Source organism: Homo sapiens, chromosome 3, assembly GCF_000001405.40.
Source record: "Homo sapiens chromosome 3, GRCh38.p14 Primary Assembly".
NCBI classification, from domain to species: Eukaryota; Metazoa; Chordata; class Mammalia; order Primates; family Hominidae; genus Homo; species Homo sapiens.
Window position 1 is genome coordinate 75,451,678 of NC_000003.12, and position 18,765 is coordinate 75,470,442.

Here is an 18,765-nt window from a genome sequence, read left to right on the forward strand (position 1 = left end):
CTGAAGAACCAGTTGTATTTCTGATGTTTGCAATGTTAAATCACAGATATTGCCAATGTGAAATAGGTTCTGTATGCTGTGTTCTCAATACACACCTTTTCCAAAGATATCCCAAGCTGTAGTCTTAGGAAACTGTGATTTTTCTTATTTGGTCTCATAGGAATTTGGGGAGCTATGCAGGATCTCCATAAAATGAGCTCCAGAAAGACACATGTGTGCACATGCACACACACTCACACACACACTCACACATGTACCACACCACAATTGACTGTTTATTTGGGACCCACGATTATCAGAAGTGCTATTTTCAACAAACACTTCTGAGAAATAATCTGAACACTTAATTGGATGCAAAAGAGTCAGTATTTACTATTCTACCCTTTAATTAGCATAATCAGTGTTTCCAGCAGCAAAAGTAATTGGAAAATCGCTAGTTTTATTAGGTTAATTATTCTCCCTTATCGTAGTGTGGCATCAGCGTGGCTATTATTCTTAAATTGCCTCTTTAAAACAAGGGCTGGTGCTTCTTACAGGCAATTCCTAACTCTTGGGTTTTGTAGAGAGCCCAAAACTCTTTAGAACCTATAATTCAAGGAAAGGCTCCACTTTGGTTTTGCATTTTGTCTGGTGTCTTTGGCTGACAGAATTTATGTCACAAGGTGCACATATTTGGGGGAGGCTCATGGACAGCCCATCGTGCTTGTGCTTTGGTAGGAAGTACGTGCCGTTAAGGGGAAGGAGATAGTTACTGATTCTAGGGAACAATTGGGTAGAAAGAGATGGACTCCCTGTGTTTGAAATTCAAAACTCAAGCTTGGCTCTAAGTGTTTCCTTGCTTTGCTTTGCTCCAGGGGAGTCACTGAGCAGAACGAAGCGAGTTGCCTGAGATTCTTCAAAGCCCCAGCCCTTTTGGAGGTTACATTGTTATTCTCAGAGCCTTTATGATGCATAATAAAGACCTAGCTTGTACCAATATTAGGATGAGTTATCTTGCTATTAACATTCTTTTAGGTAGAAGTTGCTGGTCCCATCTTGCTCACAATCCTCCAAAGTTTGAAAGTTATTTTCCAGGAGACTTGGCTTGCACTGAGAGCTGCCCTCCCACTCTCTCTCCAAATTTCCTCTTCGGAGTAGCCTAACAAGGTGCTGTCACAGACCCTTGTCAGCCACGATGACCCCACCCAGACCATCCCTCTGCTGTTTCACTCTTTGATACTCTCTGGAGCTCTCTGGGGAGGGGTGAGACCTGCCGTCTTCTTTGTACGGTTTGCCCAGGTCTTACAGTCATGGCTGGCTGCCTCTCTCTGAGAACTGGGACTCCTGAACTTGGTGAAATACCTCAGCCATCGATCATGTTGAATTATTGGGAACACTCATTTAAAATCCGAGCCTGTTCCAGATAGACTCTCTCTCTTTCTGCCCTGACTGTGAGAGAAGCCCTGCTGGATGGTGGAGATGCTCGTGGGCTGTGAGCAAGGGATGCAAAGGCTGCCGGGAATCCCATCTTTCCAGCATCATCTGCTAAGTCACATTAGTTCCTGGGTATCTGGATGGGTTCTAGCAGCATTACTGTCATTGAAGGAAAAATGATAGCCATATTAAAGGTTAATGCAGCAATCTCCACATAGGCTGCCTTGAAGGGACGCAGGACAAGGGTAGGTTTTCCTTGTGATGGACAGGAGGCAGGCGGCCCTCCCACAGCCCTGCCTGGCAATGCAGGTGTGTCCCCAAAAGGCACTGGGGGCCAGCTGGAGTGCTATGCCGAGGCGGGCTGACCTGGGCCGTGGGTTCGCTGATTGCAGCGGTTTCCTGCCAGCTCCTTGGAGAGCTGGCAGATGGCCCAGCCCCACAGCAGGAGCCGCGAATGGCAGAGCGACATACAACAATTTGATATCCACTTGCCAGAGGAGCCGGGTGTCATCAGTCGCCTGGATCTGTGCCCAACTTCTTTTTGCATAAACACTTATGAATTCAGCCAAGAGGAAAAGCACTCTGATTATGAATTGAGCAGAAGGAAACAAAGTTCTGCAGATAAACACCAATGAGACAAAAAAACACAAATAAGAAAAATGACAGAAAAGAAGAACCTTCCCAGAAGCCTCCTGCCAGTGAACGGCCACCATAGCAAGAGCATGGAGGCCCTGGGTTTTGAACTGTGAGATAAGGAAGATGATGAAAACCTCCCTAGCAGCCAGGCAAGCACAAGATTCCTGTGAAATCCAGGTCTAAGTGTTTTGACTACAGAAGTAATATTATGTCATAGGTGAGAGCTGTGAGTTGCTGAACCCAAAGTGAGTTCAAATCCAAGTTCTGCCTCCTGCAACCTTTGTGACTTTGAGAAGTTCCAACACCACTTTGTGCCTCAGTTTTCTCATCTGTCAAATGGGCATAATCACAGCTCTTGCCTCAGAGTTGTTGTAAATTAATACATGTAAAGCACTGAAATCAGCCTGGTATACACTAAGTGTTATGAACGTTATTTTCTTGGAAGGACAGAACTTATTTTCATGGTCTAAGCCAGAAAATCTAAAAAATGTGAGAGAAGGGGAAAGAATCTAGAGTGTCACCATGAGGGGGAAAAGTCAACTTGAAGCAGGACAGGGTCATTGACAATTTCCTGTGATTCTACAGCTGCCTTGTAAACTATGGTAGCTCCTAGCCACTTGTTGTTTAGATTTTGTGCTTTAGAAATGAATTAAGGCCGGACATGGTGGCTCATGCCTGTAATCCCAGCACTTTGGGAGGCCAAGGTGGGCAGATCACCTGAGGTCAGGCGTTCAAGATCAGCCTGGCCAGCATGGTGAAATCCTGTCTCTACAAAAATACAAAAATTAGCCGGGCATGATGGCGGGTTCCTGTAATCCTAGGTTCTCAGGAGGCTGAGGCAGGAGAATTGCTTGAACCTGGGAGATGGAGGTTGCAGTGAGACAAAGTTGTGCCACTGCACTCCAGCCTGGGGAATAGAGTGAGATTCTGTCTCAAAAAAAAAAAAAATTAGGTAAAATAAGAGAAAATTGAAAATTCAGCTCTTCATTCTCACCAGCCACATTTCAAGGGCTCAACAGCCCATGTGGGTGGCTAGCAGCTCCCATATTGGACAGTGCAGAGTAGAGCAAGTCTGCCATTGCAGAATGTTTGATTGGACCATGACCGAATAGTCTAATGCAGTGGTCCCCAATTTTTTTTAGCACCAAGGACCAGTTTCCATGGATTTTTGGGGGGAAGTTTCCGGATGATTCAAGTGCATTAAATTTATTGTGTACTTTATTTTTATTGTTATGAACATTATAATATATAATGAAATCATTATACAACTCACCATAATGTAGAATCAGTGGGAGCCCTGAGCTTGTTTTCCTGCAACTAGATAATCCCATCTCAGGGTGGTAGGAGACAGTGACAGATCATCAGGCATTAGATTCTCATAAGGAACACACAACCTGGATCCCTTCCACATGCAGTTCACAATAGGGTTGGTGCTCCTATGAGAATCTAATGCCACTGCTGATCTGATAGGAGACAGAGCTCAGCCAGGGGGATCAGCTGTAAATACAGATGAAGCTTCACTCGCTAGCCTGCTGCTCACCTCCTTCTGTGCAACCCAGTTCCTAACAGGCCACAGACCACTACTGGTCCGTGGTCTGGGGACTAGGGACCTCTGGTCTATTGGATAACACTGGCTTGGAGCATACTGATCAGCCAAAGAAGTGCTGAGATGATTTGGCCTCCGTTAGTAAGAATGATGGACCTTTTTTTTTTTTTTTTTTTTTGGAGACAGAGTTTCACTCTTGTTGCCCAGGCTGGAGTGCAGTGGCACCATCTTGGCTCACTGCAACCTCTGCCTCCCAGGTTCAAGTGATTCTCATGCCTCAGCCTCCCAAGTAGCCGGAATTACAGGTGCCTGCCACCATGCCTGGCTAATTTTTGTATTTTTAGTAGAGTCGGGGTTTTGCCATGTTGACCAGGCTGGTCTTGAATTCCTGACCTCAAGTGATCCGCCTGCCTTGGTCTCCCGAAGTGCTGGGATTACAGGCGTGAGACACCGCACCGGGCCAGATGGACTTTTTTTAAGCATTTAGTTCCAAGCACTTTCCCTGCACTTTCTCAGTTAATCCTCTCAGTGACTCTTTGAAGCAGGGAGTATGACAATCTTAACTTCCCAGATGGAGCAACTCAGGCAGAGAGAGCAAGTCATTGGCCACGGTCGCCCAGCTGAGGAGGGATGGAGCCAGCTGAGATCCTCTTCTAGGGAGCTAACACTGCAGCCTGCATTCTGGGCTGTTGTATTCTCCCATGTTGCTATCTGACGAGCACAGCATGGGCTCAGAGTACAGAGAGGAGGAACCAGGTAATAAGGATAGGTCTGGGGTGAAGGCTGGTGCCTTGGGGAAGAAGAGAGAGGCCCCATTCTAAAGGGATGCCATTGGAAGCTCATAGTGATAAAGCAAAGCCGACAGGTTTTGGGACTGGGAGTTAAGCACACAGTTCTGGTTTCTGCCTTTTCACAGTGGTGATGAATGGGCACTGAGACCCTCTCAAGCTAAAGTTGTCATCATTGCTCTTCATAGTCTGAAGGTGCATGAAATGGTCAACTTTCTTCCAAAGGGCTTTTATGCCTAAGTCTGTGGATAGTGTATAAACAGATATTTACTGAATTCCTGCTGGGTGCAGACACTGTGGCCAGCCCTGAGGCTACAGTCGAGATGAAGCCAGTCTCTGTCCTCATGGAGACCTATCTATTGATAAGAAAAGAGAAAGCTCACTGAGCATTGACCCTGTGCCCACTGCTTTTGATGCATCTCTCATTTAATCCTTCTATCAAATCGGTGAAATAAACACATCACCATCATCCCTATTTCACATTTAGGGAAACATATGCTTAGAGAGGGTAAGTAACTTGGTCAAGGTCGCACAGCTTCGAACTCTCATCCCACAGGTGCAGGAATGAGAGGCAGCAGCCGGGGAAGCCAGGGTCTCCGGAAGTCCTTGTCTCTGGGCGGTGATCCAGAGAGAGAGAGAGAACACGATTGTCTCAGCAATGGGTCTTCTTCTGAGTCTTGAAGGAGCACTTCCAGAGCCTCTCAGTGTTAAACATCGTGTTGTGAATGACTCCGTGAGCTCTGACCCAGTGACCTTGGGGATAAAGGAGGGGAGGTACGGATAAGCTCTTCGAATGGATGTTGCCGGGGTGTCAGTGTTCTTTGAGGGCACAGACTATGTGTCACTAAAGAAAGAGCCCAGTGCCTTTTCTCATTGCTCAAGAGATTGAAGGGGTAGTAAGAAAAGATGTTAAGTTATAAACACGTTTCAGTTTTGGTACCAGTTGAACCAATTTACGTTTTGAAGAGGAAAGAGTCTTGCCTACAATGTCAGCCCCCGGGTTTTCCTTCTGCTTATGGAATCCAGGCAATGGGCAAAGAGAAAAAGAAAACTAAGGAATCAGCCAGGTGCAGTGGCTCATGCTTGTGATCTTGGCACTTTGGGAAGCTGAGGCAGGTGGACTTCTTGAGTGCAGCAGTTCAAGACCAGCCTGGCCAACATAGTGAGACCCCGTTTCTACAAAAAATACAAAAAGTTGCTGAGCATGGTGACATGCACCTGTAGTCCCAGTTACTTGGGAGGCTGAGGTGGGAGAACTACTTCATCCCAGGAGGCTGAGGCTGCAGCGAGCCATGATCGTGCCACTATACTCCTGCCTGGGTGGCAGAGTGAGGCCCTGTCTCAAAAGAAAACAAAAAAGATAAAAAGAAAACTAGGGAATCTAGACAGCATAAGTTTATATATATAATAAAGAACTGAGATAGAACTGGGTTGACTGAGTAATTATTTGAACTGCTTTTGACTGAATTTTTCCTATTGGAGTCAACCTTTGTTTGTGTGTGTGTGTGTGTGTGTGTGTGTGTGTGTGTGCGTTTGGTTTAGTTTTGTCTTTGTGTTTTTTTGAGACTGGGCCTTCTTCTGTTGTCTAGGCTGCTGGAGTGCAGTGGCATGATCTCAGCTCACTGCAACCTCTGCCTCCCGGGTTCCAGCAATTCTTCTGCCTCAGCCTCCCAGTAGCTGGGACTATTGGGCATGTACCACCAAGCCCAGCTAATTTTTGTGTTTTTACTAGAGATGGGGTTTCACCATGTTGGCCAGGCCTGGTCTTGAACTCCTGGGCTCAAGTGATCCGCCTGCCTCGGCCTCCCAAAGTGCTGGGATTACAGGTGTGAGTCCCTGCGCCCAGCTAGAGTCTACCTTTCTTTGAATTCACTGCAGTGCAAAGACTGGGACATGTGGAACTCCAGGTGTGTATGGGTTACATAGAGATGCTAGGGGCTGATTAAGGAAGGAAAGATATGAGAAGCCTGCAGAGCATGCTTTCCCAGACTGTATGGGCCCTGGGAAAGGAGAAGTGGACAGAAAGGGAACACTGGGTGCCCTGGAAGAGAAGATTCATCCAGGTCATCAGGGAAGTTACTAATGCAAGGGAAGAAATGCAGAGTCAGGGCCAAACACGCTTCTTCCAAGTCCTTTCTGTCTGCTCAGTCACCTCTATGCTTATTTTTCTTCTTTCCTGTAAGTAGTGCCACGTGTTTTCTCCCCATTCCTAGTCACTCCTAGTCAACTAACTCCTCTCTTTACCATCTTTTCATCAGAACTTGAAACCTCCTCTCCTTCATGTATTAGTGATCATGTTTCTCCATAATACTGCTAGAAACAAGAATTGAAACCTGGAAAACCTGCATTTGAATACCAGATCTGCCTCTGCTAACTATTTGAGAATTTATTTTGTTCAATTCTTTTTGTTGTTGTTGAAACAGGGTGTCACTCTGTCGCCCAGGCTGGAATGCAGTGGTTCAATCTTGACTCGCTGCAGCCTCAACCTCCTGGGCTCAATCCATCCTTCCACATCAGCCTCCTGAGTAGCTGGGACTAAAGGTGTGTGTCACCACACCTGGCTAATTTTTAATGTTTATTTTTTTTGTTTACTTATTTGTTTTTGTAGAGATGGGGTCTTGCTATGTTGCACAGGCTGGTCTCAAACTCGTGGGCTCAGGCGATCCTCCTGCCTTGGCCTCTCGGATAAAATGGGAAAAGTTCCCTTGTCCCCCTCGAAGGGCATGCGATGGAGGTGTGGTTCGCTTCATCAGTGCCCCATTGCTCAAACCTCTAGGGGAGCATGAAGACAGGCAGGGAGCCCCATGGCAGTGTCTAGGGGTGAATGTTTATAGTTGAAGCCCCAGTGGGCGTGTGTTACAGGGTGCTCTTTTAGTTTAGCCATCCGTAGGTAGCTTGTGTTAGTCGGCTCAATTAGACCCCCGCCTTATTGCAAAGACAGAGGGCTCTCTTTGTCCCGGGGTTCTTGCCTTGGTGTACCGGAAGTGGTGCGATCTCAACTCACTGCAAGCTCCGCCTCCCGGGTTCACACCATTCTCCTGCCTCAGCCTCCCGAGTGGCTGGGGCTACAGGCGCCCACCACCACGCCCAGCTAATTTTTTTGTATTTTTAGTAGAGGTGGGGTTTCACCGTGTTAGCCAAGATGGTCTCGATCTCCTGACCTCGTGATCCACCCGCCTTGGCCTCCCAAAGTGCTGGGATTACAGGCGTGAGAGTGCTAGGTTTTATTGAGTGGAAGTAGCTCTCAGCAGATGGGGGAGCCAGAAGGAAGATGGTTTTCCCCTGGAGTCGGGCAAGTGACCTGACTCTTTTCCGACTGTCCCAGCCAAACTCTGCCTTGTTCTGCCAGTCAGTGGCCTGCGGTGTGCCGGTGCCCATTGGTGCGTTCCTCTTGACATGCAGCGCCCATGTGTTCCTCTGCTGATATGCTCCTCTTGAAGTCTAGCTGCCTGTGTGTCTGCCTTCTAGGGTCTCAGGGTTTTTATAGGCACAGAATGGGGGTGTGGCATCCAAGGTGGTCTTCGGAAATGCAACATTTGGTCAGGAAAACAAAAATCCCTGTCCTCACCTAGGTCCTTGGGCACAGGCCCTGGGGTGGAGCACTAGCCAGCGACCACACCCTCCTCTACCCAGTACTTCCCTTCCTCACTTCCATATCATTTAAAGGGACCACATTCTTCCCTTCCGAGCACTTCCCTTCTGTATCACAAAGTGCTGGGGTTATAAGCATGAGCCACTGGTCCCAGCCAATTCCATTCTTTTAACGCAAACTAGAAAATAAGTGTTCAGAAAGGCCTGCCTTATCCACCTCAGGGAGTTGCTATGAAGATCAAGTTAGATCATATGCAACAGAAGTTTAGAAAAGATTCCAAAAGCACTGCACAATGGGAATGTATTTTTAAACTCTACTGAGTGGACTTAAAAGTATGTTTTTTACTTTCTTTTTTTTGTTTGAGACAGAGTTTCACTCTTGTTGCCTAGGCTGGAGTGCAATGATGCCATCTTGGCTCACTGCAACCTCCGCCTCCCAGGTTCAAGTGACTCTCTGCCTCAGCCTCCCAAGTAACTGGGATTACAGGCGCCCACCACCATGCCTGACTAATTGCTTTTTTTTTCTTTTTGTCTTTTTAGTAGAGATGGGGTTTCACAGTGTTGGCCAGGCTGGTCTCGAACTCCTGACCTTAGCTGATCCACCCACCTTGGCGTCCCAGAGTGCTGGGATTAAGGCTTGAGCCACCACACCCAACCTGTGTTTCTTTTTTAAGCAAGAAAACAAATGCCTCTCCCCAGCTCTCACTAAACCAATCCCTCTTTTTTTTTTTTTTTTTTCCCATAGGATTCTTTTCCTTCTTGCCCCAGTGCAAACATTCTATTTTCTTTTGGCCCTTCTGTCCATCTGTGAAAGGGTCAGGCTTTCTAGCTAACCCGTAATCAAATATTTTTGATGACCACAGTCAAGACAGTACTTATTATTTTTTTTGAGATGGAGTTTCGCTCTTGTTGCCCAGGCTGGAGTGCAATGGTGCAATCTCAGCTCACTGCAACTTCTGCCTCCAGGGTTCAAGTGATTCTTTTGCCTCAGCCTCCCAAGTAGCTGGGATTACAGGTGCACAACACCACGCCCAGCTAATTTTTGTATTTTTAGTAGAGATGGGGTCTCTCTATGTTGGTCAGGCTGATCTTGAGCTCCTGACCTCAGGTGATCTACCCACCTCAGCCTACCAAGTTGCTGGGATTACAGGGGTGAGCCACCCTGCCCAGCCAAGACAGTACTTATTAATGCCTGAAACACATTCAGGAGCACATGAGCTGGCTGTGGCTGTTCTAACAAAGTTCCCCAAATGGGTGGCTCAGGACAACAGAAAGTCATTCTCTCCAGTTCTGGAAGCTTGATGTCTGAAATGGGCAGGGCTGTGCTCCCTCTGAAGTCTCCAGGGATGAATCCTTCCTCGCCTCTTCTGGCTTCTGGTGGTTGCTGGAAATCCTTGGCTTGTGGCCACATCATTCCATTCTCTTCCTTCATTCTCATGTGGCCTTCTCCCCTGTGTGTCTCTGTCTCTTCTTCTCTTCCCATGAGGAAGCCATTATTACTCCATTTAAGGTCCACACTATTCCAGTATGACCTCTTTGTAATTAAATCTGCAGTGACCCTATATTCTTTTCTTTTTCTGAGATGGAGTCTTGCTCTGTTGCCCAGGCTGGAGTTCAGTGGCACAGTCTCAGCTTGCTGCAACTCTGCCTCCTGGGTTCAAGTGATTCTTCAGCCTCAGCCTCTGAAGTAGCTGGGATTACAGGTGCATGCCACCATGCCTAGCTAATTTTTGTGTTTTTAGTAGAGACAGGGTTTGGCCATGCTAGCCAGGCTGGTCTCGAACTCCTGACCTCAAGTGATCCTTCTGCCTCAGCCTCCCAAAATGCTAAGATTACAGGCATGAGCCACCATGCCCCATCCCTATTTTCTAATAAGGTCACATTCTGGGATTCCTGGTGAATGTGAATTTTTGGAGGACAGTATTCAGTCTAGCAAAAGGCAGGGCATCCTCATTTTCTTCCCTACTTCAGAAATAAGGAAGTTAACTTCAACCCCTCGCAGAGAGAGAGAGAGGCTTCCTGAGCTTCCAACAATCAATTACCCAAATATTAGTCGCAGAAGAGCACTAAGGGTTGTGCACAGCACGTGGCCAGCCCGTTCTCAGAGTCTGTCAAGTTTAAGGTGAACGCTAATACTGAATGAGTTTTAAAATGTATTTGACATTTTCTGGTCATTGTAACATGTTCTCACATCGTGATGGCTGGGGTTTCTCTCTCAGGTGTAATCTGCGAAGTCAGATGTGACACAGCCTGGGTGAGGTGGGCCAAGCTGGGAACTGGGTTAGGAGGGAAGCTGGGGAATGAGCGCCAAGGTCTCAGATCCCAAACTGGCTTTAGCCTGATTCACCCAGAGGGACCTGGTAAAAAATACACATTCCAGGGCCCACCCCAGACCTAATGAATCAGAATTACCTGGGAAGGAGCCTGGGGAGCTCTGTTTTCAGAAGCAGCCCAGCAGAATCCTACCATCAGACAGGGCTAGGAAACTGAGCTCAGGCTAGGGCAGTAGTTCCCAAACTCGTCTGTGCTTCAAAAAATACAGATGCTGATGGCCAGTCATGGTGGCTCACACCTGTGATCCCAGCAATTTGGGAGGCTGAGGGGGCAGGATCACTTGAGCCCAGGAGTTTGAGACCAGCCTGGAGAACATAGAGAGATACTGTCTCTGTAAAAAATTAAAAAATTAGCCAGGCTTAGTGGTGCCCACCTGTGATCCCAGCTACCCTGGAGGTTGAAGTGGGAGGGTTGCTTGAGCCCAGGAGTTGGAGGCTGTAGTGAGCTATGATTGTGCCACTGCACTCCAGCCTGGGTAGCAGAGTGAGGCTCTGTCTCAAAAACCAAACAGAACAAAAAACAAAAAACAGATGCTATGTCCCATTCCAGAGGTTGAGGTTTAATTATTCTGGGGTGGGGTGTTGCCTGGGTTTTGGAACACTTAGAAAATCCCATGTGACCCTAAAGTGTAGATGAGTTTGGAAACCACACATGTAAGGCACACTTGAATTGGGGAGCAGTGAGGTGGTGTGGGCTAGCCGGCCAGAACCCAGGGGTGGGGCGGTAGGAACCAGTATTGCAGAGGCCATGAAGGCTGGGAAGCATAGTGTCTGGGGCCCATAACAATGCTTGGACATGAATGCTTTAGACCTAAGACAATTGGCTCCTAAATGTGAAAACTGCAAGGCTGAAATGAATGCATGTTTAATGCTTTGCAACATTGTCAAGTGGTCAGGTGCAACTCCGTTCTGAGGGCATGATGCCTGAGATATTCCTGTAATGGGGGTTGATTTTAATGAATTTAATATGGTGTGGAGTGGTGCCTTCAAAAGTAAAAATGTCAGTTCTAAGTTGGTTGCGGGGGGTCTGGGCAAAGGTCTTAAAACACCGTGGTAAACACCCCAATTTTAAAACAGGGACTTTTTTCCAAGAGACTTTTTGAAAATAGCTCTTATTTTGAGGGGAGGAACCCTGGCGGGAGAAAGCCAGAGTTAAGCCCAGCTGAGAGGGAGTTGGCAGGCAGGGGTCTGCCTGGTCCTCACTGAGGCTTGCTACTCAGGGTGAGCTTCCTAAACCAGTGCAGATTTGCTGGCCCACTGAGCCTCCCAGATGAGAACCTGCATTTCAACAAGGTCCTCAGTGCAGCAAAGTTTGAGATATACTGGGCTAGAACACCCAGGGGACCTAAAGGTTCTTTGAAAACTAAGGAAAATAGGCAGGAGGTGGTGGCTTATGCCTGTAATCCTTGTATTTTGGGAGGCCAAGGTGGGTGGGTCACTTGAGGTCAGGAGTTGGAGACCAGCCTGGACCAACATGGTGAAACACCATCTCTACAAAAGATACAAAAATTAGCCTGGTGCAGTGGCAGGTACCTGTAGTCCCAGCTACATGGGGACAGGAGAATCGATTGAACCTGGGAGGCAGAAGTTGCAGTGGCCAGAGATCGCACCACTGCACTCCAGTCTGGTGACAGAGTGAGACTCCATCTAAAAAAATAAATAAATAAATAAATAAAATAAAAATAAATACTGGGCTAGAAGACCCAGGAGACCCAAAGATTCTCTCAAAACTAAGGAAAATAATCTAGGTCACATATATATTCTCTTTCTCCTTCTCCTCATTGCCCCTCTCCACCAGTAATCTTTATAGACTCAAATAGAGTTGATGTTCTATAATCAATTCTAGTCACTTTTATTTATATTTATTTATTTTAGAGATGGGGGTCTCACTATGTTGCTCAGGCTGGTCTCAAATTCCCGGGCTCAAGTGATCCATCCACCTCGGTCTCCCAAAGTGCTAGGATTACAGGCATCAGCCACTGCACTTGGCCGTTACTTTTATTTTTGATGTTCAAATTATAAGCTAATGTCTGTGAGACCATAGATTCTTTTTATGCACTCAATACGTTTTTGTGTTTACCTTACATTTTTATTATGGAAAAGATTCTGTTTTTTCCACTTGTTTCTATTTGATAATGAAGCCCTCTGTGCCTATCGCCAGCCTCAGCCGCCATCATCTCATTACCAAGCTGGGTTATTTTGAAGCAAACATCTTCAATATTTAGCCGGTGTTCAAATTTACCAAACCATCCTAAATGAGTGTTTAGAATAGTTGTCTCATTGGAAACAAGGTCAAAACAAGTACATTTTACATTTTTAGGCCAGTCTTGAAAGTAAGCGTAAAACCATGTGTGGGATAGGAGGTGGAACTAGCCTCTCAAGGTGGGACCTGGATACCAGACCCAATTGAGGACTAGCTAAGACAGATTCCACAGTGAATAACACCAGGAGGTGGGAATATTAAGGTCCATTGCAAAGGCTGGCTACCACAATTATTTGATCAACTAGTTATCAAACCTGACTGCAGCTGAGAGAGATTTGTTTTTGCTTTTTTTTTTTTTTCAGAGACAGGGTCTTGCTATATTGCCCAGGCTGGACTCAAACTCCTGGGCTCAAGTGATTCTTCTGCCTCAGTATCCCGAGTAGCTGAGACTACAGGTGTGTGCCACTGTGCCCAGCAAGATATTAAAAAATACATATGCGCGGACACCACTCTAAACCAACTAAATCAGAATCAGATATAGTGAAGTCATTAATCATTTTGCTCCTGGGTCTTTATGACAGTTTTGCTCCTGGGAAACTCCTGGGAATGTGGTAGAGAGAGAGAAAGAGATGGGAAAATACGATTTTAAGAAGTGTTGCTATGCATTTTGAAAATAATATTTCTTTGGTGTTTGTCTTGAGGGATGGCAATAAACATTTCAATTGCTTTTAAGTATGCTTGCATGCTGGAATGATGGTTCTATGAATGCAGCATCGAACTGGGATTGGGCCACATGGCAGCCAGCATGAGACTTTATGCCACATTTATAAAACATGAATGTCATGAGCCCACTCTCAGGGACCTTACTATTTGGAGGGTTAGGTCAGATCCACAAATCTCTTCTATCTCATGGTAAAGGAAGCCTGGCGTGTAGCAGGAGATGGTGTGAAACAATATCATATTGCATGATCAATATTTGTATTCTTAGCAATATTAAACTTTTTGACCCCCTCCATTGTGTCATCAATTTGCTTAATACAGTTTCTGCTTCAGCGTCGGTTTTTAAGCCTGGTGTAAGCTGTTTGAAACCCAGGCACGTACCCCGCCCATTATCTTTGGCCTAGTTAACACCTCCCGTCCCTGCGTGGTGGTTTGGAGAACCTGCTTGTTCCTCATCCCACTGATCCCAAACCCAGGACACCCCACAGCTGCTGACCATGACTAAACCTAATGGAGATTTAATGCCTTTCTTCTGATTCTCAGGGTCTGACATTCATTCACTTAAATACTTGCAGAGTCAGCCAGGCATGGTGGCTCACACCTGTAATCCCAGCACTTTGGGAGGCAGAGGTGGGTGGATCACGAGGTCAAGAGTTCAAGACCAGCCTGGCCAACATGGTGAAACCCCATCGCTACTAAAAATACAAAACTTAACTGGTGTAGCAGTGCGTGTCTGTAATCCCAGCTACTCAGGAGGCTGAGGTAGGGGATTTGCTTGAACCTGGGAGGTGGAGGTTGCAGTGAGCCAAGATTATGCCATTGCACTCCAGCCTGGGCAGCAGAGTGAGACTCTGTCCCAAAAAACAAAAATCCCAAAAACTTGCAGAGTGAATTTAGGAAACCATGAAGTCTAGAGTTTGATCCAATCCCTTCCTTTTTCTCTTTCTCAAATATTTTGAGCCAGGTGTTATTCTAGATTGTCTTGTGATATTTACAATCTAGGAGAAGGCAGGAGAGAGAACTAAGAACAGAGAGCATGTTCTGAGATGTCTGTTGTGTTTGCATGTACCTTCCCTCAATTTCCCTACTCATTGGCCATGCTAGAAAGCAGGTCTTGGCGCCATATTTGTACCATGGTACTTCCCCTCCCTATACTCAATTGGTTGGCCAGAAGCACAATTGTCATTCTCTCTCTCTCTCTCTCTCTCTCTCTCTCTCTCTCTCTCTCTCTCTCCCTCTCCCTCTCCCTCTCCCTCTCCCTCTCTCCCTCCCTCCCTCTCCAAGATATCCAGTAACTGACTGATCAGCTGGTGGTGGGCTCTGCTGGCTGCCATGATGGGCCACCAGAAAAGGGGGAAAATTGTTTGTGAGTGAGAGAAGCAGAGATAAGAAAGTCCACAGGGCTGATAAGAAAGACCATGGGCTGCCGGACGTGGTGGCTCACGCCTGTAATCCCAGCACTTTGGGAGGCCAAGACGGGTGGATCACGAAGTCAGGAGATCGAGACCATCCTGGCTCACATGGTGAAATCCCATCTCTACTAAAAATACAAAAAATTAGCCAGGTATGGTGGCGGGTGCCTGTAGTCCCAGCTAATTGGGAGGCTGAGGTGGGAGAATGGCGTGAACCCCGGGAGGTGGAGCTTGCAGTAAGCTGAGATCGCACGACTACACTCCAGCCTGGGCGACAGAGCAAGACTGCGTCTCAAAAAAAGAAAAAAAAAAAGAAAAAAGAGACCATGGGCTTCTGAGAGCCAGAAAGAGGCATTTTGGTTTCTGTAACTGCAGTTTCCATTCTCTCATGGCCTCTCATTTGTTTCTCGTGCCCATGAGTTTTCCTGTTAGAGATAAGGTGTGCTCCTTTCCCTCCAGCTCATGCAAATGGGTTTCTGTTTCTTACAATCATTGTTCCCAGATATGGATGGTGACTGATGCTCTACTAAATGCTGAAAAAAAGCAGAGTGGAAGCACAGAAAAGAGGGCTTCTCTGAGGAGGTGACGTTAGAGCCCAGTTGGAAGGCAGGGGTAAATGCGCACCATGATTTTTTAGGATTAAAACCAAGTATCTCACTGCTTGGGCACATGTAGATAGCTGTGATTTAACAGTAAACTGTCCCAGTTATACCCATTGTCAGTTACCTCACCACAGGGATTATGTAGCCCTGAGTTTGCTTAGTGATTATTTATTTTAGGTTGTTGTTTATCCAAACCTCTTAAACGGCACGCGTTTGGACCAAGTGACAGCATCGTTCATTGATGTTGTGGGCAAACCACTATTTTATTACTCAAGACTGGGTAATTTATAAAGAAAAAGAGGTTTAATGGGCTCACAGTTCCATTTGGCTGAAGAAGCCTTAAAATCATGGTAGAAGGCAAAAGGCACATCTTACATGGTGGCAGACAAGAGTGATGAGAGCTATTTTGGTTATTGTTCACTGGCCATAGAATTTACTTCTATATTTTGAACTAAGAAAAGAGCCGGGAACACAAGACGGTTACAGGTCTGTCTTTTGTTTTTGATAATGATGATGATGATGATGATGAAATGGCTGACATGGTTCATGATTGCTTTTTCTCATCATCTCAGACCTAGATTTTTGGCTGGACTATTGGCTTGGGATAGATGAAAATCATTCCTTGTATCCCCTGATCTTAAAGTCAAGACTGAACCAACCTCCAGACACAAGCCTTCATGGGGCTTCAGATACCATGAGGAATGGGCATCCCTGCAATATTGTCATGGCTGTCAAAATTGTTATTGGAGCTGAGCAAGTGGGCCCTCTCCTGCCATTCCATCCTGCTTAGATTTCCCATTCAACATCAATCGTATTTTTTATTTTTTATTTTTTTTTTTTGACAGAGTCTCACTCTGTTTCCTAGGCTGGAGTGCAGCGGTGGGATCTCAGCTCACTACAGTCTCCACCTCCCAGGTTTAAGCAATTCTTGTGCCTCAGCCTCCCAAGTAGCTGGGATTGCGGGTGCACACCATGAAGCCTGGCTCATTTTTTTTTTTTTTTTTTTTTTTTTGTATTTTTAGTAGAGACAGGGTTTTACCATGTTGGCCAGGCTGGTCTTGAACTCCTGACCTCAAGTGATCCACCTACCTTGGCCTCCCAAAGTGCTGGGATTACAGGTGTGAGTCACTGTACCTGGCCCCATTTCCTCTTATACCATAAGTCATTGCCTGCAAATGTGTTTTCTCCATTAGTTTGCAAAAGCTTCCTGAGAGTAGGCCTGTGCCTCATTTATTCTGGAATCTTCCTGGCACAAAGCACAGGGCTTTATCCTCAGTAGGCATCCAACAAATGTTTAATTTCATTCAACAGCTCCTCTTACCACTACCCCCACCTTATTTGCAGGTGGCTAAGTACAATCAGAACAAGTAGGTATCATAAGATTTAGTCCAGAGTCAATCTGGGAAGAAATTACTTTAGTGATATGAAAAGAAACCAAGCTATTTAGTCAGAATACTTCTGAGAGTATCCTCTGTCCAAGCATTTGCTGAATTTCGATCTACTAATTTTCAGGTGGAACAGTATGGTTGCAGAGAGTCCATTTGGATATATATACACTTTCATGCATTCATGTCTTTAACAATAATTTGTGGCCCTGCTGTGTTTGTTCACTAACTCCTTCGAACCTACCATATAAGCTATATCTTTATTTTCCTTGTAATTTGGGAGGTCCAATGCTTCATTAAGCTCACATGCCTGAAACTAATGAAGAAAATAGCTCGTTAACCAGCTAGTATAAAAATAGCCACCAAAATAAGTCAATCACCCGCCTTAAATCAGCTCAGTACTGCCATCTTGAGCGGAGAAGCCCATTCTGAATCGCAGTCAAGACACTGATGGAAAAGCAGCTCTCTCTGGGTATCAAAACCACGCTCGCCCCAAATCCTTCTCCCCAGAATTCTACTCATTGCTCACCCACTAAACCCAGAACAAACCAGAAGTGCTTGAAATGAGGATGGGTAGCTCCGTGTACCAATCAGAATTTAAAACTGTATCAATTCCTGCTATAGAAATGAGGCTTCTCCCCAGGACCAGCATTCCATGAAGGCAGCCCTTTTCTAGATGGAGAAAACACAACCTGAAGACACCCGTTTCCCTAAACTGCTCTCGCTCATGTATAAGTACAAATGAAAAATGCTGACGCTGCTTCCGTTGGCATTGCTTTTTAATTACGGCCATCAATAAATCATTTTATCCTTGAACAAGACTTGAGAATGGCCCGAAGGCAGAGGCATGATTCCTTAGGAATTAGGCCAAAAGAGAATGGGCTGTCTCTCTTCTCACCTCTTCTCTTACTCTGCTGTCAGAAACAGAAACGTTCTCTGTGAGTAGCTGGGAGCCGACGGCCGCACTTGAGTTCCATCTGGGGCTTCTGTTGACACAGTTTTACCCCAGCCTGCCTTGATGGCCACTGCCACACAAGCTGCATCTGTTCTTTCTTCTGCGCCTCTTGTTACATCGTTGTTGTTTTTCCTCTTTCTAGTGTAGTGAGCTGAATGGTGGCTTTACACAAGATATATCCAGATCCTTGTGCCTAGAATCTGTGGAGGTGGCATTATTTGGAAAAAGGGTCTTTGCAGATGTAATTAAGTTAAGGATCTTGAGATTATCCTGGAGTATTTTCGGTAGGCTGTACATCTAAAGACAAGTGTCCTTATAAGAGGACACTTTTGTCCAGGCGCAGTGGCTCATGCCTGTAATCCCAGCACTTTGGTAGGCTGAGGTGGGTGGATCACCTGAGGTCAGGACTTCGAGACCAGCCTGACCAACATGGAGAAACCCCATCTCTACTAAAAATAAAAAATTAGCCGGGCATGGTGGTGCATACCTGCAATCCCAGCTACTGGGGAGGCTGAGGCAGGAGAGTTGCTTTAACCCAGGAGGAGGAGGTAGCAGTGAGCTGAGGTCATGCCATTGCACTCCAGCCTGGGCAACAAGAGTGAAACTCCATCTCAAAAAAAAAAAAAAAAAAAGGACACTGTTTTTCACGTGCATCCAAGTGAAGAGACCACCAAACAGACTTTGTGTGAGCAATAAAGCTGTTTATTTCACCAGGGTGCAGGCAGGCTGAGTCCAAATACAGAGTCAGTGAAGGGAGATAGGGGTGGGGCTGTTTTTATAGGATTTGGGTAGGTAAAGGAAAAAGGGGTTGTTCTCTGGCAGGCAGGAGTGGGGGTCACAAGGTGCTCAGTAGGGGAGCTTCTGAGCCAGGATGAGCCAGGAGAAGGAATTTCACAAGATAATGTCATCAGTTAAGGCAGGAACAGGCCATTTTCATTTATTTTGTGGTGGAATGTCATCAGTTAAGGCAGGAACTGGCCATCTGGATGTGTACGTGCAGGTCACAGGGGATATGATGGCTTAGCTTGGGCTCAGAGGCCTGATGTTCCTGTCTTCTTATATTAATAAGAAAAATAAAATGAAATAGTGGTAAAGTGTTGGGACGGCGAAAATTTTTGGGGATGGTATGGAGAGATAATGGGCGATGTTTCTCAGGGCTGCTTTGAGTGGGATTAGGGGCA

At 46.1% G+C, this 18,765-nt stretch overlaps 1 long non-coding RNA gene and 1 pseudogene across 3 annotated transcripts in view; one reads left to right on the top strand and one right to left on the bottom strand.

The window, feature by feature from the left end:
- Positions 1 to 18,765, top strand: part of LINC02018 (long intergenic non-protein coding RNA 2018) — a 76,870-nt gene that overhangs the window by 16,370 nt on the left and 41,735 nt on the right. The window contains exon 4 of one of the 3 annotated variants that reach the window (NR_151706.1): positions 4,940 to 5,809. The exons of 1 other annotated variant lie outside the window; for it this stretch is intronic. This is a non-coding gene — a long non-coding RNA (long intergenic non-protein coding RNA 2018). Of the gene's footprint in view, positions 1 to 1,014; positions 2,452 to 4,939; positions 5,810 to 18,765 lie in introns of those variants that run through there. One more of the 3 variants, NR_151707.1, reaches the window with a different exon arrangement.
- ENPP7P2 (ectonucleotide pyrophosphatase/phosphodiesterase 7 pseudogene 2) overlaps positions 1 to 18,765 on the bottom strand; it is a 44,439-nt pseudogene that overhangs the window by 4,913 nt on the left and 20,761 nt on the right.